The sequence below is a fragment of the Homo sapiens genome, chromosome 15 (genome assembly GCF_000001405.40).
Source record: "Homo sapiens chromosome 15, GRCh38.p14 Primary Assembly".
Lineage (NCBI taxonomy): Eukaryota > Metazoa > Chordata > Mammalia > Primates > Hominidae > Homo > Homo sapiens.
Window position 1 is genome coordinate 75971898 of NC_000015.10, and position 18117 is coordinate 75990014.

General features: G+C 38.5%; 1 protein-coding gene and 1 pseudogene across 14 annotated transcripts in view; both read right to left on the reverse strand.

The window, feature by feature from the left end:
* The window catches only part of NRG4 (neuregulin 4), a 124848-nt gene that overhangs the window by 36505 nt on the left and 70226 nt on the right, over nucleotides 1–18117 (reverse strand). The window lies entirely within an intron of this gene.
* LOC124903616 (uncharacterized) lies at nucleotides 6936–7042 on the reverse strand (annotated as a pseudogene).

Consider the following 18117-nt stretch of genomic DNA (forward strand, 5'->3'; position numbering starts at 1 on the left):
TGGGTCAAATGGCATTTCTAGTTCTAGATTCTTGAGGAATCCCCACACTGTCTTCCACAATGGTTGAACTAATTTATACTCCCACAAATAGTGTAAAAGCATTCCTATTTCTCCATATCTTCTCCAGCATCTGTTGTTTCCTGACTTTTTAATGATTGTCATTCTAAATGGCATGAGATGGTATCTCATTGTGGTTTTGATTTGCATTTCTCTAATGACCAGTGATGATGAGCCTTTTTTCATATGTTTGTTGGCCACATAAATGTCTTATTTTGATAAATGTCTGTTCATATTCTTTGCCCACTTTTTGATGGGGTTGTTGGTTTTTTTCTTGTAAATTTGTTTAAGTTCCTTATGGATTCTGGATATTAGCCCTTTGTCAGATGGATAGATTGCAAAAATTTTCTCACATTCTGTAGGTTGCCTGTTCACTCTGATGATAGTTTCTTTTGCTGTGCAGAAGCTCTTTAGTTTAATTAGATCCCATTTGTCAATTTTGGCTTTTGTTGCCATTGCTTTTGGTGTTTTAGTCACGAAGTCTTTGCCCATGCTTACATCCCGAATGGTATTGCCTAGGTTTTCTTCTAGGGTTTTTATGGTTTTAGGTCTTACGTTTAAGTCTTTAATTCATCTTGAGTTAATTTTTGTATAAGGTGTAAGGAAGGGGTCCAGTTTCAGTTTTCTGCCTATGGCTATCCAGTTTTCCCAACATCATTTATGAAGTGGAGAATCCTTTCCCCCTTACTTATTTTTTGTCAGGTTTGCCAAAGATAAGATGGTTGTAGAGGTGTGGCATAATTTCTGAGGCCTCTGTTCTGTTCCATTGGTCTATATATCTGTTTTGGTACCAGTACCATGCTGTTTTGGTTACTGTAGCCTTATAGTATAGTTTGAAGTCAGGTAGGGGGATGCCTTCAGCTTTGTTCTTCTTGTCCAGGACTGTCTTGGCTATACAGGCTCTTTTTTGGTTCCATATGAAATTTAAAGTAGGTTTTTCTAATTCTGTGAAGAAAGTCAATGGTAGCTTGACAGGGATAGCATTGAATCTCTAAATTACTTTGGACAGTGTGGCCATTTTCAAGATATTGATTCTTCCTATCCATGAGCATGGAATGTTCTTCCATTTGTTTGTGTCCTCTCTTATTTCCTTGAGCAGTGTTTTGTAGTACTCCTTGAAGAGGTCCTTCACATCCCTTGTAAATTGTATTCCTAGGTATTTTATTCTCTTAGTAGCAATTGTGAATGGGAATTCACTCATGATTTGGCTCTCTGTTTGTCTGTTATTGGTGTATAGGAATACTTGTGATTTTTGCACACTGATTTTGTATCCTGAGACGTTGCTGAAGTTGTTTTTCAGCTTAAGGAGATTTGGGGCTGAGGGTTTTCTAAATATACAATCATGTCATCTGGAAACCCAGAGACAATTTGACTTCCTCTCTTCCTATTTGAATACCCTTTATTTCTTTCTCTTGCCTGATTGCCCTGGCCAGAACTTCCAATACTATGTTGAGTAGGAGTAGTGAGAGAGGGCATCCTTGTCTTGTGCTGGTTTTCAAAGGGAATGCTTCCAGCTTTTGCCCATCCAGTATGATATTGGCTGTGGGTTTGTCATAAATAGCTCTTACTATTTTGAGATACATTCCATCAATACCTAGCTCATTGAGAGTTTTTAGCATGAAGGGGTGTTGAATTTTATTGAAGGCCTTTTCTGCATCTGTTGAGAGAATCATGTGGTTTTTGTCATTGGTTCTGTTTATGTGATGGATTACGTGTATTGATTTGCATATGTTAAACCAGCCTTGCATCCCAGGGATGAAGCTGACTTGATCGTGGTGGATAAGCTTTTTGATGTGCTGCTGGATTCAGTTTGCTAGTATTTTATTGAGGATTTTCATATCGATGTTCATCAGGGATACTGGCCTGAAATTTTCTTTTTTTATTGTGTCTCTGCCAGGTTTTGGTATCAAGATGATGCTGGCCTCATAAAATGATTTAGGGAGGAGTCCCTCTTTTTCTATTGCTTGAAATAATTTCAGAAGGAATGGTATCAGGTCCTCTTGGTACCTCTGGTAGAATTCGGCTGTGAATTCATCTGGTCCTGGGCTTTTTTTGGTGGGTAGGCTATTAATTACTGCCTCAATTTCAGAACTTGTTATTGGTCTATTCAGGGATTCGACTTCTTCCTGGTTTAGTGTTGGGAGGGGGTATGTGTTAAGGAATTTATCCATTTCTTCTAGATGTTCTAGTTCATTTGTGTAGAGGTGTTTATAGTATTCTCTGATGTTAGTTTGTATTTCTGTGGGATCAGTGGTGATATCCCCTTTATCATTTTTATTGTGTCTATTTGATTCTTCTCTTTTTCTTCTTTATTAGTCTGGCTAGCAGTCTATCTATTTTGTTAATCTTTTCAAAAAACCAGCTCCTGGATTCATGGAGTTTTTGAAGGATTTTTCGTGTCTCTATCTCTTTCTGTTCTGCTCTGATCTTAGTTATTTCTTGTCTTCTGCTAGCTTTTGAATGTGTTTGTTCTTGCTTCCTCGTTCTTTTCATTGTGATGTTAGGGTGTTGATCTTTCTTGCTTTCTCCTGTGTGCATTTAGCGCTATAAATTGCCCTCTAAACACTGCTTTTGCTGTGTCCCAGAGATTCTGGTATATTGTGTCTTTGTTCTCATTTGTTTCAAATAACTTCTTTATTTCTGCCTTAATTTTGTTATCTACCCAGTAGTCATTCAGGATTAGATTGTTCAGTTTCCATGTAGTTGTGTGGCTTTGAGTGAGTTTCTTAATCCTAAATTCTAATTTGGTTGCACTGTGGTCTGAGAGACTGTTACGATTTTCATTCTTTTGCATTTGCTGAGCAGTGTTTTACTTCCAATTATGTAGTCAATTTTAGAATAAGTGCGATGTGGTGCTGAGAAGAATGTATATTCTTTTGATTTGGGATGAAGAGTTCTGTAGACGTCTATTAGGTCTGCTTGGTCCAGAGCTTAGTTCAAGTTCTGAATATCCTTGTTAATTTTCTGTCTCATTGATCTAATATTGACAGTGGGGTGTTAAAGTCTCCCACTATTATTGTGTGGGAGTCTAAGTCTTTTTGTATGTCTCTAAGAACTTGCTTTATGAATCTGAGTGCTCTTTTATTGGGTGCATACATATTTAGGATAGTTAGCTCTTCTTACTGCATTGATCCCTTTACCATTATGTAATACCCTTCTTTGCCTCTTTTGATCTTTGTTGGTTTAAAGGCTGTTTTATCGGAGACTAAGATTGTAACCCCTTTCTTTTTTTTCTTTCCATTTGCTTGGTAAATATTCCTCCATCCCTTTATTTTGAGCCTATATGTGTCTTTGCATGTGAGATGGGTCTCCTGAATAGAGCACACCAGTGAGTCTTGACTCTATCCAATTTGCCAGTCTGTGTCTTTTAATTGGGGCATTTAGCCCATTTACATTTAAGGTTAATATTGTTATGTGTGGATTTGATCCTGTCATTATGATGTTAGCTGGTTATTTTGCCTGTTAATTGATGCAGTTTCTTCATAGTGTCAATGGTCTTTACAATCTGGCATGTTTTTGCAGTGGCTGGTACTGGTTTTTCCTTTCCATGTTTAGTGCTTCCTTCAGGAGCTCTTGTAAGGCAGGCCTGGTGGTAACAAAGTCTCTCAGCATTTGCTTGTCTGTAAAGGATTTTATTTCTCCTTTGCTTATGAAGCTTAGTTTGGCTAGATATGAAATTCTGGGTTGAAAATTCTTTTCTTTAAGAATGTTGGATATTGGCCCCCGCTCTCTTCTGGCTTGTAGGGTTTCTGCAGAGAGATCTGCTGTTAGTCTGATGAGCTTCCCTTTGTGGGTAGGTAACCCGACCTTTCTCTCTGGCTGCCCTTGACATTCTTTCCTTCATTTCAACCTTGGTGAATCTGACAATTATGTGTCTTGGGGTTGCTCTTCTTGAGGAGTATCTTGTGGTATTCTCGGTATTTCCTGAATTTGAATGTTGGCCTGTCTTGCTAGGTTGGGGAAATTCTCCTGGATAATATCCTGAAGAGTGTTTTCCAACTTGGTTCCATTCACCCTATCACTTTCAGATACACCAATCAAACATAGGTTTGGTCTTTTCACATAGTCCCATATTTCGTTCCTTTTCATTTTTTTCTCTAATCTTGTCTTCATGCTTTATTTCATCAATTGATCTTCAACATCTGATATCCTTTCTTCCACTTGATCGATTTGTCTATTGATACCCGTGTATGCTTTACGAAATTCTCGTGCTATGTTTTTCAGCTCCATCAGGTCACTTATGTTCTTCTCTACACTGGTTCTTCCAGTTAGCAGTTCCTCTAACCTTTTTTCAAGGTTCTTAGCTTCCTTGTATTGGGTTAGAACATGCTCGTTTAGCTTGAAGGAGTTTGTTATTACCCACCTTCTGAAGCCTACTTCTGTCAATTTGTCAAACTCATTCTCCATCCAGTTTTGTTCCCTTGCTGGCAGGGAGTTGTGATCCTTTGGAGGAGAAGAGGCGTTCTGGCTTTTGGAATTTTCAGCCTTTTTGCACTGGTTTTTCCTCATCTTCGTGGATTTATCTACCTTTGGTCTTTGATGCTGTTGACCTTCGGCTGGGGTTTTTTTGTGGACACCCTTTTTGTTGATGCTATTCCTTTCTGTTAGTTTTCCTTCTAACAGTCAGGCTCCTCTGCTGCAGGTCTGCTGGAGTTTGCTGGAGGTCCACTCCAGACCCCGTTTGCCTGTGTATCACCAGCGGAGGCTGCAGAACAGCAAAGATTGCTGCCTGTTCCTTCCTCCGGAAGCTTCATCCTAGAGGGGTACCCGCCAGATGCCAGCCAGAGGTCTCCTGTATGAGATGTCTGTTGACCCCTGCTGGGAGGTGTCTCCCAGTCAGGAGGCATGGGGGTCAGGGACCCACTTGAGGTGGCAGTCTGTCCCTTAGCAGAGCTTGAGTGCTGTGCTGGGAGATCTGCTGCTCTCTTCAGAGCCACCAGGCAGGAACGTTTAAGTCTGTTGAAGCTGTGCCCACAGCTGCCCTTCCTGCAGGTGCTCTGTCCCAGGCAGATAGGAGTTTTATCTGTAAGTCCCTGACTGGGGCTGCTGCCTTTCTTTCAGAGATGCCCTGCCCAGAGAGGAGGAATCTAGAGAGGCAGTCTGGGTACCGCCGCTTTGTGGCACTGTGGTGGGCTCTGCCCTGTCCAAACTTCCCAGCAGTTTTGTTTACACTATGAGGGGAAAACTGCCCACTCAAGCCTCCAGATGCCCCTCCCCCAACCAAGACTGAGCATCCCAGGTCGACTTCAGACTGCTGTGCTGGCAGCGAGAATTTCAAGCCAGTGGACTTTAGCTTGCTGGCCTCCATGGGGGTGGGATCCACTGAGCTAGACCACTTGGCTCCCTGGCTTCAGCCCCCTTTCCAGGGGAGTGAACGGTTCTGTCTCACTGGTGTTGCAGGCGCCACTGGGGTATGAAAAACCCCTGCAGCTAGCTCTGTGTCTGCCAAAATAACCACCCAGTTTTGTGCTTGAAATCCAGGGCCCTGGTGGTGTAGGCACCCGAGGGAATCTCCTGGTCTGCGGGTTGCAAAGACCATGGGAAAAGCATAGCATCTGGGCCAGAATGCACCATTCCTCACAGTCCCTTGGCACTTCCCTTGGCTAGGGGAGGGAATTCCCCCAACCCTTGTGCTTCCTGGGTGAGGTGACACCCCACCCTGCTTCGGCTCACCCTCTGTGGGCTGCATCGACTGTCTAACCAGTCCCAGTGAGATAAGCCGGGTACTTCAGTTGGAAATGCAGAAATCACCTGCCTTCTGCATTGGTCTCGCTGGGAGCTGCAGACCAGAGCTGTTCCTATTTGGCCATCTTATCACTTCTTTCTTTTGGGAACATTCCCAATCTTCTCTTCCAGCTTTTTATTTTTATTTTATTTTTTTAAATGGAGTCTCACTCTGTTGCCCAGGCTGGAGTGCAGTGGTGTGATCTCGGCTCACTACAACCTCTGCCTCCCAGGTTCAAGTGATTCTCCTGCCTCAGCCTCCCAAGTAGCTGGGATCACAGGTGCCTGCCACCATGCCCAGCTAATTTTTGTATTTTTAGTAGAGATGGGATTTCACCATGTTGGCCAGGCTGGTCTCCAACTCCTGACCTCAAGTGATCTGCCCACGTCAGCCTCCCAAAGTGCTGGGATTACAGGCATGAGCTACCGTGCCCAGCCTCTTCTAGCTATTTTGAAATATACAATAAATCTAGCAGTATTTTTGTACCCATTCACTAACCTCTCTTCATTTTCCCCACATCCACCCAGTACCCTTCCCAGCCTCTGGTAACCATATTCAACTCTCTACCTCCCTGAGATCAATATTTTTTGGCTTTCACATATTAGTGAGAGCATGCAGTATTTGTCTTCTCATGCGTAGATTATTTCCCTTAACATAATGACCTACGGCTCCATTCATGTTGCTGCACATGACGGGACTTCATTTTTTTTATGGCTGAATAATATTCTATTGTGTCTATACCTACATTTTCTTTATCCATTCACCTGTTGATGGACACTTAGGTTAATTATTTATCTTGGCTATTGTGAATAGTGCTGCAATAAACATGGGAGTACAGACATCCCTTTAATATACCTTTTATTTTTTGAGACATATACCCAGCAGCAGGATTGCTGGATCATATGGTGGATCTATTTTCAGGGTTTAGAGGAACCTCCATACTGTTTTCCATAGTGGCTGTACTAGTTTCATTCCCAATAGTGTACTACCATTCCCCTTTCTCTATATTCTCACCAGCACCTATTATTTTTGTCTTTCTGATAATAGTTGTGTTAACTGGGGTGAGATGATATCTCATTGTAGTTTTGATTTACATTTCCCCTATGGTTAGCGATGTTGAACATTTTTTTCATCTGTTGGCCATTTATATGCCTTCTTTTAAGAAATGTCTATTCAGATTACATGTCCATTTTTTTCAATTAGCAATAATTGCGCCTCAGATAAACCTCATTGGCTACAATACTGCCACTGCACAAAGCTATATCTCCACTTTTTTCATCAGATTATTTGGGCTTTTTTTTCCTGCAGAATTGTTGGAGTTCCTTATACATTCTCATTACTAATCCCTTGTCAGATGGATAGCTTGCAAACATTTTGTCCAATTCTGTAGGTTGTCTCTTCACTCTGTTGGCTGTTCCTTTGCTGAGCAGAAGCTTTCTAGCCTGATGTAATCCCATTTATCTATGTTTGCTTTTGTTACCTGTGCTTTTGAGGTCTTACTAAAAAAAAATCTTTGCCCAGATCAGTGTCCTAAAGCATTTCCCCCTATGCATTCTTCTAATAGTTTCATAGTTTCAGGTTTTATATTTAAGTCTTTAATCCATTTTTGTGTATTAGACAGCTAATAGCATTTGCCTGTGGTTATATCAGCAAAACTCTTTATACTGTTCTTTTCTTATCTCCAATCCATTGGGTGGATTTTGACCTCTCTTTTTCTGTAGTTGGGCTGTTTTAATAAACATTTATTTGAACACATGGGTTTTGAAGAGAAACACACAAACAAGAAAATTTTATCTTGGTGCCCCCTTTAATTATTATTTGTCAAGGTCAAAATAGCTAAAATTAAAATCTGTTATAAAAGTTTACATTTTATTGAAAAGGTTACATTTCCAGCTTTAATCATAACTGAATTGCATAAGACCAGTAAAATGCTGGCCCCAAAAAATGTTGTAAACAATGATCATTCATTGTTCACCCAACTATGATACATTTTATTTTCTGGATATTATATTAAGAGCTTAACTTGAATAAGAAGTCAATCAAACTGAATATACTGTATTTTAATGTTTAGTTTTTGTATGTCTAAGTAAATTTACTAAATTTTGCTTTCATTACATAAATTTCTTGCCTCCTATATATGCCCATTCTCAATCAATTTAATTAATTCTTATTAAAACAAGACAAATTACAAAGAGTTCATCTGAAATTGTACTGCAAATGGTAACTGAACCTTCTTTGTTAGCTTTTGTATCCTACAGCTGCCACATGGGAGACTTTCAGAATTATTTTATTGGTAAGTCAACTAATTTATCATTTTTTCTTGAAAGACGTTTGTGGCTATATATGCAGTATCTAAATATTACCTAACTTTTATTGACTGTTTTTACTATTTTTCACCTGATAAGCTTTTAGCATGTTCAAAATACATATATGAGAAAGAATTTGGCTTAAAAAGGTCTACAAACTAGAATTGAACAAGAACCATGTTCAGTAGTATAAAAGTTCATTTCAGAACAAAAATAAATGGAAAAGAAAGCATGTCAAGGAATTTTACAAAGCACACAAGAAACTTTCACCTTTTCCAAAATGTCTGGACTCCAGAGATAGGGAAAACAAAAATAGAGATTAGTGAAAGCAGAAATAATGTTGGTGGGTTTAAAAATACTGGGTAAATTCAAAATGAATACATTTTTTTCTTTGGGGATTTTTTTTTTTTTTTTTACTGATGTTAGTTCATACAAGTTGAATATCCCTAATCCAAAAGTCTAAAATCTGAACTACTTCTGATCTCAAGCATTTAGGATAAAGGATACTCAACCTGTATAATCAAATACAGCAAATCAGCAGAAAGTATAAGGAAGAATACACTCAGTATGAATGTCAGGCGTAATCTAGGGTATCTCCAAGCCAAAGGGTAAAGTGTTTCAAAGTTTTCTTTGGCATCCTTTCACTTCACTTTTCAATTTTCTGTTGCCACATAGCATCCAGAGCCCAGAGTCCTAAAGGTACTTAGGATACCCTAGTGCAGTGATATCAAGACAAGGTCTCACGTTCCAGATCACTCTTTGCCTCCTACATCCCTCAGAGACTTCATTCAGTTCTAATAAATTGATTTCTACTATTATTACTCACTAACATTCATTAGCTCTGTAAGAAAAAAAAATAAAAAATGGTAAAGGTGGGGGAAAGAGATTTTTTAGAGTGATAAAATAATTCCAAAGTAAATAGAAAGAAGGAATTAATAAAGGAAGAAATAAATGAGTTAGAAACAGAAAAAGAGAATGAAACCAAAATACATAAATCCAAGAGCTGGTTCTCAGTAAAATGAAATGAAATGAACTTGAGAGAAAGCACATTTGGTGAATTGCAGATGGCCACAAATTCTTTGTCACTCCTCTCACTGAGTGCTGGGGTCTATTTCCCCTCCCTTTGAAACTCAGTGGCCCTATGACTTGCTTTGACAAGGAGAATATGGTAGATGATGCTTCATAATTCTTAAAGTTAGGCATTAACAGATCAACAGCTTCCACTGTCGTCTATTGGAATACTCCCTTTTGGTCTCCATGTATGAAGTCTGACTATCCTCTGGGGAGAGAGACCTGAATCTACTTTAAATGTTTCAGATCCTGCCAAATACCCAGCTGAACACAGCTCCTGAGTAACCCTTGCCAATACCATGTAGAGGAGAACAACCACCCAGCATCACCTGCTTGAATTCCCAAGAATTCTGAGTAAATTATAATATGGTTGCTATTTTAAGCCACTGAGTTTTGGGGTAGTATGTTACACAGAAACAGATAATCCTAGAAGTAAGGTGTTTGTGTAACTAAAAACTTAAAAATTTGTGGCATTGGATTTTGGACCAAGCAGTAGGTGGAGGCCTAAGGGGCAGTAAGGAAACTGCTAGTAGCAGCTGCAAGTACAATGAGGAAATTGCTATTGAAGGCTGAATGCAGCCCTGTGAGTGACCCAAGATGACACCATGTAGAGTGGCACTGCCTAGGTGAGACCAGCCCAAATACCTGTCAAATGGTCGTTTTTGAAGCTACTGATTTTTAGGGTTGTTTTTATGCAAAATAGATAACCAAACTACAAAATATAAGTGAAGATATGCCAGAGGAAATTTAACCACAGAAATGGATAATATGTTTTAAAATCAGAAAAGAGGCTATTTTGATAAATTCTTTACCAATAAATTTGAAAACCTGGATGAATTGGAAAATTTTGCTTAAAAATATAACTTACAAAAAAAAAATCACCCCCAAAGAAACAGAAAATCTAATACAGACTGATTTACAGAGAAGAAAATTCAAATAGATCATTCTCCATAAAACAAATTTAGGAACTATTGCTAAGAAAACCTAGATCCAGACAGCTTCATAGAGAATTCTTCCAGACTTTAAACATTAGATAATTCTAATGCTAAACTATTCTAAAACTTAGAAAAGGAGAAAAATATTCAAACTCCTTCAATGAAATAAGGATATTGTCGATCCCAAAACCTAACAAAGATTGTACCAATAAGAAAACCGTAGGTCATTCTCACGAATGTCAACACAAAAATCCTCAATAAAATACAATAAGAATCAGCAGACCATAAAAGAATAGTAAGTGGGCCATACTCCAGAAATACAAGAATGATTCAAAATCAGGACTAATAATACAATTCATCATGTAGATATAGTTAAAGAGAAAAAAACATGATCATGTCCTTAGACTGTAAAAAAGCATTCGATAAAATTCAATGGCCATTCTTGATTTAAAACAATAAGTGGAATATGAGAGGTTCCACTTCTGGGTATGACTAGCTAAGATGCTATAGAATGACCACCACTTCTAGCTCCCTGCAGAAAACTATAAAGACTTGGACAAAATATGAAAAGCAAATACCTGAAGGTCCAGGAGAATGAAGAGATAAAGACAGATTCTGGAGGGGAGGTCACGCTAGTTTGGAGGAAGTACAAGTAAATTCCTGCTTCTGCAGCTTTTAGCCTGGGGCTAAGCCACCTAGTGAGTACAGCAGCTATGGGGGCCTTGCATGGAAGAACTCTTTCTGATCTGAGGAACTAGAAAAAAGAAGCTATGAAGCCATGAATGCTGAAAGAGTAGGAGAATTCTGGGTGAGCATGAGCCAAAGAGGGGATCCCCAAGCCCAAGCTGTCTCCCCACATCTCTAACGGACACCTGAACTAGGTAGGCTCAGAACAAATTTAAAACAGACCATCTAAAAACAAAACATCTGAACAGACTGGACCTTCTACATAAGAAAACATGTTTGCAGTAGAAGCCCAGCCAAGAAAATTGCTTACTAAACAAAGGAAACCATGCTTATCAGAAAAATAATAGCATTTAGAATATCCATAATCTAAAACTCCTAATGTCCCAGAAACAATCCAAAATCACCAAGTATACAAAGAACCAAAAAATCAAATGTTCTCAAGAGAAAGAAAATAAATTGAGTCCAAACCCAAGACGAACCAGATATTGGAACAAACAGACAAGAATCAAGCCGCTAATATAACTATCCTCAATGAAGCAAAACATATTTACAATGCATAAAAAGTCTTAGCAGAGAAATGGTAAGTCTCAGCAGAGATACAGAAACAAACAAAGACATTGAGATCTGAAAACTAATAAAAACCCTCAATAAAATAGAAATATAGTTACTTCCTTAGCATGATAAAATATATCCATCCCAGCCAAAAATTAGCATCAGATTTCCTGGAAAAAGTAAAGACATTCCCATCAAAGTTAAAAAACAATAAAAAGTAAAAAACACTCACTGCTACCCCTATTATTTAATATTGTACTGAAGGTCCTAACCACAATTAGACAAGATACAGAAATAAAAGGCACAGCCATTAGAAGGAGATAAGTAAAACTATTGCTATTTATAGATGATATGATTATACATCTTGAAAACCCAAAGGAATAAAATAAAAAACTCCTACAAATAGTAACATAACTCAATAAGATAGCAGGGGAAATTAACATAAAGAAATCACTAGCTTTCTTATATACAGACAATAATTAGAAGATAGGCAGGAAAAGCCCCAGTCACAATACAAACAAAATGATGAAATAACTAAGAATAAATTTAAGAAATATGTAAAACCTATATGAGGGAAATTCTAAAACATATTCTAGGCTAAATAGATTCAACTTTATAAACATATAAATTCTAAATTAATTTATGAATATAAATGTTATCCCAATATCTATAGGAAGAAAGCTTTAAAACACATTCTAGATGAAATAAATTCAATCTTATAAACATCTAAATCCTAAGTTAATTTATGAATATAAATGTTACCCCAATATCTAAAAACAAAAATGATAAAAGTTCCTGAAAAAATACATGGCAGGGGAGAGACGAACAGGCAGAGCACAGAGGATTTTTAGGATAGCGAAAATACCTGGTATGATAGTATAATGGTGGATACATGTCATTACATTTGTACAGACCCATAGAATGTACAACACCATCGGTGAACCCTGAACTATGGACTTTGGTGATTATGATGTGTTGATGCAGGTTCCTCAATGGTAATGAATGTACCATTCTGGTTGGTGGTGTTGATAACGGGGGAGGCCTTGCATGTGTCACGGCAGGGGGTATATACAGGGAAGTCTCTGTACCGTCCTCTCAATTTTGCTGTGAACCTAAAACTGCCCTTTAAAAGGGGTCTTTTTACTTAGAACCAACCCAAATGTCCATCAGTGATAGACTGGATGAAGAAAATGTGGCACATATACACCATGGAACACTACACAACCATAAAAAAGAATGAGTTCATGTCCTTTGCAGGGACATGGATGAAGCTGGAAACCATCATTCTCAGCAAACTAACACAGGAACAGAAAACCAAACACCGCATGTTCTCACTCATAAGTGGGAGTTTAACAATAAGAACACACGGACACAGGCATGGGAACATCACACACCAGGGCCTACTGGGAGGCAGGGGGCTAGGGGAGGAATAGCATTAGGAGAAATACCTAATGTAGATGACGAGTTGATGGGTGCAGCAAACCACCATGGCACGTGTATACCTATGTAACAAACCTGCATGTTCTGTACATGTATCCCAGAACTTAAAGTATAATAAAAAAAATTGTTTAAAAAATTGGCAAATAATTTTTTTTAAAGCAGTTTTTGTTTTGTTTTGTTTTGTTTTGTCTTGAGACAGAGTTTTGCTCTGTCACCCAGGCTAGAATGCAGTGATGCAATCTCAGTTCACTGCAACTTCCACCTCCCAGGTTCAAGTGATTCTTGTGCTTCAGCCTCCCATGTAGCTGTGACTACAGGCACGCCTCACCATGCCAGGCTAATTTTTGTATTTTTAGTAGAGACTAGGTTTCACCATGTTAGCCAGGCTGGTCTCGAACTCCTGACCTCAAGTGGTCTGCTTGCCTCAGCATCCCAAAATGCTGGGATTACCGGCATGAGCCACTGCACCAGGCCAAAAAAGTCTTTAATTAAACAAAAGGGAAAAAAATAAGGGTAAGTTCCATTATAACTCCCAGGAAGACTCAATGGACTCAATACATAGTTTTACCCACAGTAATGATTTATTACAGCAAAAAGATACAAAGCAAAAACTACAAAGGGAAAAGATACATGGGATGAAGTCTGAAGGAAATGAGGCACAAGCTTCGAAGAGTTCCCTCCTAGTGGAGTCACACAGAACAAGCCTAATTCCTCTAGTAATGAATTGTGACAATTTAAGTGAAGTGTTATCTACTAGGGAAGCTCATCAGAGACTTAGTGTCCAAGATTTTTCATGGAAACTGTTCATATATGTATCTTCTGCCTCGCATATACCAAAATTCCAGACTCCCAAAAGAAAAGCAGGTATTCAGCATAAACCACAATGCTTATACAGTTCAGGCATACGGAGACATCCTTATCATTTAGGAAAAGTTTCATTTAAGTATAGAGAACTGTATGCCAACTAAGTTTCTAAACACCAGCAACGGCCAACTTCGCAAGGAGGCCTTTCTAAGGATAGCAGTCTAAGACCTGCTCTGTCAACTCTATTCTCCACATCTTGAATATAAAAAATCAAATTATAAGTCAACATCCAAAACCCATAAAAGACTGATAAAATTAAGTATGTAAAAATAAAAAATAAAACTTAATTATGGCCAAAATTTATCAAGAAAAAAATCACAAGACAAGTGACAAACTAGAAGAGAATGTTTGCAACTCATATCTCAGTCAAAAAGATAATATAGCTTTTAATAGTATCTTTATTATATAAACAATTTCTACGATGGCTACTATAAGAATACAACTTAATAGAACAACTAGGGAAAAACTGTTGACACAAAAGGAAACACATATGGCTCAACCTCACCTATCAAAAGATTGAATTAAAAGTAACAGTGAGATACCATTTCTCATCTATCAGATTGGTAAGAACCCAAAATTAGACCACATATGCTGCTATCAGCTTGGTAAAAACCCCAAATCAGATAACGTTTTCATCTATCTGATTGGTAAAAACCCAAAGTTAGGCAACATACTCTGCTAGGAAATGACATACTCTCATATACAGCTGGTAAGAATTCACATTCCTACCCAGGACAATTTGGCAATGTCTACCAAAATTAATATGCATATACCCTTTGACCCAGCCAAATTCTTGGGATTCACTTACACCCTAAAATATGACATACATATAAGGTTAATTGTTGTATTTGTATTAGCAAAAGATAAGTAACAACCCAAATGTCTATCAGTAGGGTTAAATACAGCCTATTATCTGCATAAAATATAATACTATGTAGCTATAGTGAAGTACTCTGTGGATTGACATGAAATGATCTCCAAAATATATTCTGAAGAGAAAAAGCAAGGTAGAAAACAGTGTAAAAACTGACAGAACATAAGATTTCAAGTTGGTATTGGCTTATATATGCACAAATATATGTTAGAAGTGGGTGGAAATAACAATTTTTACTATAAACCTTTTATTATGACTTGATTTTTGGACCATATAAATTATCAATTTAAAAAAATTATAATTAGATGAGATATGAATATTATCATTTTTTGGTGTGTCCCAAGTATTTTATTTCTTTGCCAGACAATGGTAACTATCTTGGAGGCAAAAATCAGATTAAGGATATGGCCCTCCCAAACTAAGCCTAGTTTCAGATGGGCTTGAATTGCCCTGCCATTAAACTGAAAGGGAAGGGATGAACACATAAGAGAGAATATTAATGTAAAAGATCTCAATCTAAGTTTAAGAACTATTTATTTTTGATATTTAGCTGTGTTGCTTATATATGGAGCTGAGTAGAAACAGGGAGATCTCTAGAGCCTAGAATGTTTTTGAGTGAATTACATTACCAAAGAAACCAAAAGCCTGGCCTCCAAATCCTGTTCAAATCCTAAAGCAATCCCTAGGCCCCCAGATCACAACAGCAGGAAGTGAGCTATGAAAGCTTTGCGGTCCCCAGGAAAGAAGTATATTTCAATCACTAACTCAGATGAGGCCTTGGAGAAAAATGATTAAGGATGACAGAGCCAGGAATCATGGAGGTAACAGAGTAAAAGGCTGCTCCCAAAGGAGCTGCCAGAATGGCTAAGGGATTTAATGCACTTCAGAGCAAGGGGTTTTCACAATTTTTGTCAAGGAAAATATAATAATTGGTATGAACCAGCAACTTATTTCATGTTTTTCTAACTTGATTAGAATTATTCCATTTTAATTTTACCATTATATACTGGCATTACAGATGTGAATGTTGAAATCATACCTCCAATGTGATGGTATTATGAAGAGGGGCCTTTTGGGGGTCATGAGGGTCATGAGGGTCAAGATGAGATCAGTGCCCTTATAAGAGACAGGAAAGACTTACTTCCGCTCTCCCTCTCTCTGCCATGTAAGTATGCAGCACGAAGATGTCCATCTGCAAACCAGAAAGAGGGCCCTCACCACCAACTGAATCAGCTAGCACCTTGACCTTGGACTTCCCATCCTCCAGAAATCGGAGAAGTTTCTGATGTTTAAGCCATCTTGTCTATGGTATTTTGTTGTAGTAGTCCAAACTGATTAAGTGCTATTCAAAGAGCACTCTAAGACCTGTTGCCAGCAAGGAGCTTTTAGGCTCACCTTACTCAGGCTCACAATAATCCTGTTACTGTTATCAAGGTGCTGACATCTGTGACATTCAAACACTATCTAGATGCTTCAATAATCAAAAGCAGGAAGGTACACATGAATTTTCGATATACACTGTAGATGCCATCTAGGAAGCGTGTTTGAAGAGCCATGGCAATACAGACAGGTGTTCTAATGTTCTCAAAGTGTCTCCACTACCAAGAAGTTTCAGACACTTGACATTTACCTAGACATTATCCTGGATATCAAAGTAGCTCAGAATGTGAACCAAGCTTTGTAACAGTTTGTGAAGATTGAGAAGCTAGTTGAGAGAATTTCTATAGTTACAGCATGTGTCAGAGGATGCCGACGTCAAAGAGGTTGACTGTTATACAACTCTTTTTTTCTTTTTGAGACAGAGTCTCACTCTGTCACCCAGGCTGGAGTGCAGTGGCGCGATCTCGGCTCACTGCAACCTCCACCTCCCGGGTTCAAGTGATTCTCCTGCCTCAGCCTCCCAAGTAGCTGGGACTACAGGCATGCGCCACCATGCCCTGATAACTTTTATATTTTTTAGGAGAGATAGGGTTTCACCATTTTGGTCAGGCTGGTCTCGAACTCCTGACCTCAAATGATCTGCCCACTTCGGCCTCCCAAACTGCTGGGATTACAGGCATGAGCCACCACGTCCAGCCTACAACTCCTTCTAATGTTCTTAGTTTTGTGTTTAAACATTTCACAAATTTCTCAGGTGACAAAGTTGCTTAGAATGTGAAATATCCTGAGTCTCTTGATAGATACACATAGGTCTTTGCTGAATGAAGAGCCCTTTATATTCTACATGTCACACTGGATATTAACTCTGTGTAAATGGCATAAAATGGATGATGCCAAGGAACTAGAGATATTAGAGCTGATCTGAATCAACATGGAGAAGTCAATTGGAAAGAGACAGAGGAAGTGGGTTTAGAGATGGGACCACAAACACCCTGAGGAATAAAACGAAGGTATGAATTTATCCCACAGGGTGGCAAAAATAGAATCTAGAATCCTGCACCTTCCTTTTTTTTTTTTTTTTTTTTTTGAGACAAGGTCTCACTCTGTGCCCAGGCCGGAGTGGCAGTGGTGTCATCATAACTCACTGCAGCCTTAAACTCCTGGACTCAAGTGATCCTCCCATCTCAGCCTCCCACGTAGCTGGGACTACAGGCACAGCCATCATGCCCAGCTAATTTTTAAATTTTTTTGTAGAGATGGGGTCTCACTATGTTGTCCAGGCTGGTCTTGAACACCTGAGCTCAAGCAATCCTCTCATCTTGGCTTCCCAAAGTGATTTGATTACAGGCATGAGCCAGCACACCCAGCCCTGAGTGAATTTTTAAAGTTTATAGTACTGTTCCTGCTTCAACTCAAAGCAATGTGGATGTTTTGGACTTATGCAAAGAATGTTGTATTTCTAAGCTTTCTTCATTCCTTCATGTAGATCTGTTTCCATCTGGTTTCAGTTTACTTTTGCTGATGAACTTCCTTTAACATTTCATGTAGCGTGGCCTACCGATGAATGCTCTCAGTCACTGCTTGTCTGTAAAAGTCTTAGAATATGTAAGATCCTGAGACTTTTTGGCCATTACTTCTTCAAATGCTTTTTCTGCCCTCTCATCTTTCTGAGATACCTTAACACATACATGTTAGACCTCTATGACTCTGTTCCTTAGTCTGAAAAAAAAAAATCTATTTTGGAAAGTTTTTATTGCTATGGCATTAATTCATTAATATTTTATTCTGCGGTATCTAATTTGTTAAGCCCATCCACTCAACTTTTCATTTCAGATATTTCATTTTTCAGCTTCTAGAAATCTCTCCATTTCATTCAGGTTTTCTTTTAAATTCTTTACATATTTATAGTAACTGCTTTAAATCTCGTTTGCTAATTCCATCATTGCTGACATTTGTAGGTCTGTTTCTACTGATTGACTTTTTCATCCTAATCACATTTGCCTGCTTCTTTGTATCTAGTAATTTTGCATTGCTTGCTGAACATGAATCTTACATTTTTGAGTGCTAGATTTTGTTGTCTTTGTTTAAAGAGCATTGAACTTTGCTTTGGGAGACGAAGTTACTTGTAAATCAGCTTGATTCTTTTAAGGCTTGGTTTTAAGCTTTGACAGGGTACAAATGGAGTAGCATTTAGGCCGACTTTCGCTCTAATCCTCAAGAGTGACT